This window comes from Homo sapiens, chromosome 11 (genome assembly GCF_000001405.40).
Source record: "Homo sapiens chromosome 11, GRCh38.p14 Primary Assembly".
NCBI lineage: Eukaryota > Metazoa > Chordata > Mammalia > Primates > Hominidae > Homo > Homo sapiens.
Genome location: NC_000011.10, coordinates 11,239,383 through 11,246,546, shown reverse-complemented (window position 1 = coordinate 11,246,546; position 7,164 = coordinate 11,239,383). Strand labels below are relative to the sequence as shown.

General features: G+C 43.1%; 1 long non-coding RNA gene and 1 pseudogene across 1 annotated transcript; one reads left to right on the top strand and one right to left on the bottom strand.

Moving 5' to 3' along the window:
- Positions 1,316 to 3,783, top strand: LOC124902630 (uncharacterized). Its single transcript, XR_007062593.1, has 2 exons — positions 1,316 to 1,791; positions 2,961 to 3,783. It is a non-coding gene; the product is annotated as an uncharacterized LOC124902630 (long non-coding RNA).
- Positions 6,372 to 6,692, bottom strand: MTND5P21 (MT-ND5 pseudogene 21; annotated as a pseudogene).

Below are 7,164 nucleotides of genomic sequence, written 5' to 3'. Positions count from 1 at the left end.
ACACAGAGACACAGAGACACAGAGACACAGAGACACAGAGACACAGAGACACAGAGAGAGACACACAGAGAGAGAGAGAAAGAGAAAGTGACATCCTTTACAGAAAGGTACAGAGGATTGTAAGACATGGCAGACAGGCCTGAAATGACCCCTTGGGTGTCACAGTAACAGGGTATGGGCATCACTCATCCTCTGCCAGATCCAGCTAACTTAGGTTCTCCTACCAGAGGGTAAACAGTAGAGCCCAGGATCTGCTGCCTGCAGAAACAGGCTTGCTGACCTGCAATTTTCTTTCCTGATTTGATGGAGGCCAAATATTTAACATTAGTGCTTACAATACGTATAGTGGTTAGGGAGTTCTGGCTCTGAAGTCATTGCTTGCCTTTGAATCCTGGCTCTGCCCTTACTAGACAAACTATCCAACCTCTTTGTGCCTTAGTTTCCTCATATACAAAATGGAAAGAATGAGTATAGATCTCTCATGGAATCATTATGAGTTTTAAATGAGATAATATATATACAGTGCATGAGAGTGCTTGCATATAAAAATCCCTTAGAAACACGCATTATTACTAACATTTGTGTTGGCTTATGGATGTAACTATAATCCAGACAGTATGTTAAATGCATACATCTTCACATTTATGCTGTGATCTCTGTAACAGTATGTTCTTTCTATAGACAAAGAAACAGATATAGAAAATGACTCTACCAAAGGCACCCAAGCTGATTTCTCCAGGAACTCTTTCAAGTGAGAAATATTTTTTCCCTCATCTGGGTCCCTGCCACACTGTGTAACATCTCCATGATGATGCTTACTGAACTGTACTGTAATGAACTTTATTATTTTCTCCTTCCCATTAGACTAGTAGTTGACAAACTACAGCCTTTGGACCAAACTTGATTTTTAAAGAAAAATTGGAACACAGCCGTGGCCATTTAAAGCTACAGCGGCAGAGCCGAGTAATTGCAACAGACTATATGGCTCACAAAGCTAAAAATACTGACTCTCTGACCCTTTAGAGAAAAAGTCTGCCAACCCCTGCATTAGACTTTGAGACTAAAAATACAAAAAAAATAGCCAGGCATGGTGGCAAGCACCTGTAATCCCAGCTACTTGGGAGGCTGAGGCAGGAGAATCAGTTGAACCCTGGAGGCAGAGGTTGCAATGAGCCGAGATCATGCCATTGCACTCCAGCCTGGGCAACAAGAGTGAGACCCTGTCACAAAAATAAATAAATAAATAAATCCCAAGTAAAGAAATGAGTGAAAACGTGGCAGACTTGAATGGTTGCCACTTCTCAAGGAACAACTGCCTCAGGGGCCCAAGTGTCAGAGTTTTGAGCTCCATCCAGATTCTTAGAAGCCCCTCAGCTCCATGATGCTGCCAATTGGGTAGGGGTCCCCACAGGTGACTCTGAGACAGAACTAGTATCAACTCTCCACATTATCACCCTAGCACCTCTCACAGCCTCCTAAAAGAGAGGACCATCATCATCTTATAAGAAAACCCCTCTTAAATCCTCACTTGTGAAATGGAAAAGTTGCTAGAGATGGTTCAGAGGGCCTTTCCCACCTCCTTTTTTGCCGTTTCCTGACCCCAGCCTTGTTGCTATGGCTTTCCTTGGAATCTCCAATGCATTGAATCAGAATTTGCCTTTCTGCCTGAGGCAGGATGTCCCATGACCACTTTAGCCTCTTGTTGGAAAACAATGAAGAAAATAGCTACCATTAATGGAGCTCCTGCTCTGTGCCAGGGACTGTGCCATGTACTTCACTCTGAGAAGCAAGGTAGGCTTTATCATTCCCATGTACAGATGAGGCAACTGAGCCTCTTGGGGGTGTAGACACTTGCCCAAGGTCACACAGCATGTTAAATTCTGGAGGTGAGATGGAAACCCATTATTTCCTCTTTTCTCACGTCCCTGACCTGCTTCACCAGGGACCCAAAACCAGTCACTGGAACAGTGTTGGAGCTTGATTTTTTGATCTTTGAATCAAAGTATTTTAACTGTATCCACCTGACCTGGCTGGGTTCATGACAAATAAGGTATCACTTATTTGAAATGCATTAGCTGTTTACTTGCCCTGCATCCAGCTGTATGCTGGATACTATGCACAGGGTAGACCAAGCAGTTTTACCTCTCAGGGACCTCACAGTCTAATAACAGGAAGTAACAAGCACTATCCCTAAGCCAGTGAATGAAGGGGCTCCCAGTGGGCGGGACTATGAGTGTGCAGGGCTGAGTGGGCGGGGCTCCAGGCTCCACCCACCCCTCCAAGTTAGCTATCCATCATCTCTGCCCATACACTGAGTGAGGTTCCATATAGGAATCCCTCTGAACAAAAATTTCCTTTGCTAACTAAATTTGAAAAACTTCCACACTAAGGGATGAACAAAGCAGGCAGAACAGTGCTGATGCCATCACCATCTTAAAAATAGGCTTTTTCAAGAAATCATGTCCTCTCAGAAGTTCAGAGAACAACTCCTAAATACATTCCTGGAGCGTTTTTCATCTCAGAGGACAATTAACCTTTGCAATTAGCTTCATCAACAGGAACTTAATAGCAAATATTTGGTTGCTTAGCAACAAGGAAGCAGCCGCCAGTGGGACTGCAGTATTGTTGTGGCTCGAGTCTCCTGGGGTTGCAGGCTGAGGAAACGCTGAGCTGGATTTCCAGATTCTGCAAAGCTCTTTGACCGAATGTCCTCTCCCCTGAAGGCCCTGTCAGTGACCTAAGGGGCGAGTGACCCTGACCAGTGGGGACCCAGCCCTCAGCAGTGACTGGAAGGAGAGTGCCAGCATCTGAACACCCTCATAAGCTTCAGAACAGCCCGAGGGTACCCAGGCCAGGAGGTGACACTCTGCTTCACCCTCTAGAGATATGTGGCCTGGGAAAGCCAGGGCCTGCAGAATCCCTACTGCTGGGTGACTTTCTTTTCTTTCTCATTTCCACAGGGCCCTGCTTATCCCCATTTGAAATGGGAAAAAGCCTCTGATTAAACCGCTTGCCCAAGTCTCCTGGCAGTAAGTGGTGGAGCAGGATTTCGTCCCAGCCTCATGCTGTTTCCACATCCCCACAGTGGCCCCGGGCTGTGCTCCTTCCCTGGACCTGAGCTTCACTATTGGACCAGATGAGCCTCTCGGATCCATCCCAGCCTGGCACGTCTAGATCCTGCCTCCCAACGCAGGCTGCTGAGATGTTCACTTGAATCTCTCACCATGGACATTACCCAAACATTACCTAATGTTTTCCAGAGAGAAGAATCCTATTTCTTTCTGTGTTTTAGATTCCAAACCAAAAAGGGACATAATTGTGTGGTGAAAATAACAAGGGACTTCAAATCAGAAAACCCAGGCTCAGATCCTGGCTCTAATATTTACCAGTCATGTCATTTTAGGGTTACAGCCTTTCCAAATACCTTTCCCCTAATCTGTAAAGTGGAGATCATAATAACTACCTCAGCAGGATGTTACGAAGACCAAGTGAGAAGCCTGGCATCTGGCAGGTACTCAAGAAACAAAAATACAAGCCCACAAAACAAAAACCACCACAAGACACTTCATGCCTCTGTCCTCCTAGTTTCTATGGAGAGGTATAAGACTTTTGTCTCTACCTCATTTCATTTACAAGGACTTCCCACTAAAAAGTGAACCAGAGATGCTCTAGACAAAGTTAATTGCCAGAGACCTCTCAGTATATGTATGACTAAACCCAAACAAATAACCTGAAGAAAATGTTCTCTTTTTCAGTGAAATAAAAGTAATTCCCATTCAGACAGATCTGGTTAGAATTGTGACTATCTCATAACAGCTCTGTGACTTCGGCAAACACTCTGTAGCCACCATGACATCCTCGGTTTTAACACATGCAGGAAAGCGATGTTTCCCTAATAAGGTTCTGGCAAGAATTAAATTTAAAAACTTACATGAAAGAGCCCATTCCAGTGCCTGGCTCTAGCTCACATAAATTACTCAGGCCATATTTGTTATGTCTGAATCCGTTTGACGAACACTTCCGTTACCAGTTTCTGTTGTGACTGTCCTTTGAAATTCCTATCAGTTTATTTTTACCTAATTACTCATATCTACACTGTTTCAGTATCAGCTTTAGGAAAGAGCACATCCGCTTCTATTTTCAAACAAATACACACAAAAAAACGTAATTGCAGCCCCAATTTCTTTGGCACGCTGAAAGTGCTGCATATGTGTAAAATGACAGCTTAAATTCCCGAAAAGCTCTTTGGAACTTTGAGGCTGCCTTCCATCCCCAGAGCTCCTGCACAAAAACCTCTTCATCCTGCCCAAGCATCAGCCCGCCCTCTTTGAAATTCATGCCACAAAAGTCTGCAGAACAAAACTTCATCAAGTTAGTTACCGTATTACCTGGTAATTCCACTCCTGTATAGACAGATCTATACCCAAGAGAATGGAAAACATCTGCACAAAAACTTGTACATGAATGTTCATAGCAGCATTCTTCACTATAGCCAAACAATGGAAGCAATTCAAATGTCCATCAGTGGATGAATGGATAAACAAAATGTGGGATGTTCATATTACTCCTTCCCTGTTAACACTGTAGCAAATTACCAGAAACATAGTGGCTTAAACAACTCACATTTACTCTCTTACAGTTCTGAAGGTGGAAGTCCTTCATTGGTTTCACTGGCTCGAGTCAAGGTGTCAGCAGGGCTTAGTTCCTTCTGGAGGCTTAGAGGGGAGATTCTGTTTCCTTGCCGTTTTCAGCTTCTAGTAACTGTCTGCATTTCTTGGCTGGTGCCTCTTCCTTCATCTCTGAAGCACATCAGTCCAATTTTGTTTCTATCATCACATTGCCTTCTCTTCTGTAGTCAAATTATCTTCTGCCTTTTTCTTATACTTGTGATTACATTAGGGCCCACCTGAGTACTCCAGACAAATCTACCCGTCTCAAAATTCTTACTTGATCACATATGCAAGGTTAGGTTCCTTTTGCCTTATAAGGTAACAGTCACAGGTTCCTTTTGCCTTATAAGGTAACAGTCACAAGTTCCAGGGATAAGGATGTGGGTATCTTTGAGGGCCGTTAGTCAGCCTATAGTGTACAATGGAATATTACTCAGCCATGAAAAGGAATGACATGCTGATATATGCTACAACTTGGATAAACCTTGAAACATCATGCAGAGTGAAAGAAGTGACACAAAAGACCACACAATGAATGATTCCATTTATATGAAATGTCCAGAATAAGCAAATCCATACAGACAGAAAGTAGATTGGTGATTGCCAGGGAGTAGGGAAGGAAAGAAGAGAGAATGACTGCTAATGTGTACAGGCTTCTTTTGGGGGTGATGAAATGTTCTAAAATTATATAACAGTGATAGTTGCACAGCTTTATGAATATACTAAAAATCACTGAGTTGTACATTTTAAAAGGATGAATTTATGATATGTAAATTATATCTCAGTTAAAAACAAATTAGGAAAAGCTCATGTGTCAACATTACATATAAATGATAAAAGTGGAAATGTTCCTTTTTAATCAAATTATGATTTGAAGCCATTTAATTTAAACAAAGTGCTTTCAGCCAAACCGTTCAACCACACTGTGTACCTTGTGGTGGTAGAGTGGGCCTAGGAGTCAGGAGGCCTGAGTTCAAGTGCTGGCTCTACCCCTTACTGTGTCACTGTGTTACCCTTTCTGAGCCTCAGTTTTCTCACCTACAAAATGGGTAAAATAAAAGTACTGACCTCTCAGAGTTGCAAAGATTCAGCGAAATAGTCACAGAAAGCTTGTCATGGAGTAAGTGCTCAATCAGTGCAGGCAGTTGCTTTGATTTTCTCATCCCCTGATGCTGATCAACCCTAATGGGAACCCACCCATTCTAAGGGTGATCCACTATTCTAATTTAAGTTTCAGATTGTCTGAGGGGAATTAGAGGGAAAGTATCAGGAAGGTAGTAAATGTACCAGGCACTGTGTGAAAGGATGTACAGACTCCAGAGTGAAGAAGTGAGTGGGGAGAGGGGAGGAAAGAGAAAAAAGGAAAGACAGGGGCAAGGAAGGACTTCATAGAGGAAGTCTAGATCTAACGCCAGGCACACTTGTATGTGGACTGAGTGTGTGTGTGTGTACATGTGCATGTTTGTAGGGTGGGCAGTAGTTGACAAACAGGACAGAAGATAGATAGGATAGTGGGCATGAATGAACAGAAAGCATTTGAGGCATGAGTAAGGCTCAGACACATCATACAGCCTGGATCTTTCAGGAAGCATGAGTAGTTCCTACAGGTAGAAGTTGTGCTAAAACAGGCAACCAAAGTACTTTAAACAGGGAGACAGAGAGTAATCTATTAGATTTGCCTTTTACAAAGCTCTCTGGCTTTAATAGTATAGCTTTAAAAAAGGCGTGGGTGCAGATGTGAAGGAATGCCAGGTGTGGTTGATTAATGCCAATTGTGACTATTACAAGGCCCAGCTGGCTTGAGGTGGAGAATGCTATGACTGTTTTACTTTGTGTTAGAGCAGAGATTGCTGTAAATAAGGTGATAATGGCCCCTAAACATAATATAAAAGGTTTGGATAGCTTATTTTTTATTAAAGGGTAGGTGTGGCAGAGAAAAACAACTGTGGTTTAAAAAAAAAAAAAAAAAAAAGGCTGGAAGGGACAGTTAGGAGACTGTGGCAATGGTCCAGTCATTGATTGATCAGGACCTTAACAAGGGTAGAGGCAAGAGAGAGAGAGTCTATTCCTGGTCCCACTGGACACCAAATGAACATCTATGTGTAGAGACACAGAGGGAAACACACACCCCTTTGAAGGCACTGGCATTCTGCAACCACAGGAGTGGACCTAGTGGGGGATGTGATGGTTAGTTCTGTGTCAGCTTGGCTAGGCTGTATCACCCAGTCATTTCATCAAACACTAAATTAGATGTTGCTGTGAAGGAATTTTGTGGATATGGTTAGCATCCAAAATCAGTTGGCTTTGAGTAAAGGGGCCTTTGACAATATGGGTGGGCCCCATCTAATCAGTTGGGAGGCCTTATGAGCAAAAACAGGCTTACTAGAGAAGAAATTAGTTCTGTTTCTCTGAGAAATCTTGATACAGAAGGTGTGACCCACTCTTTCTTCACAAGGTCTCCTGTAGGCCAAGGAAGCCACATACTATCAAGAGT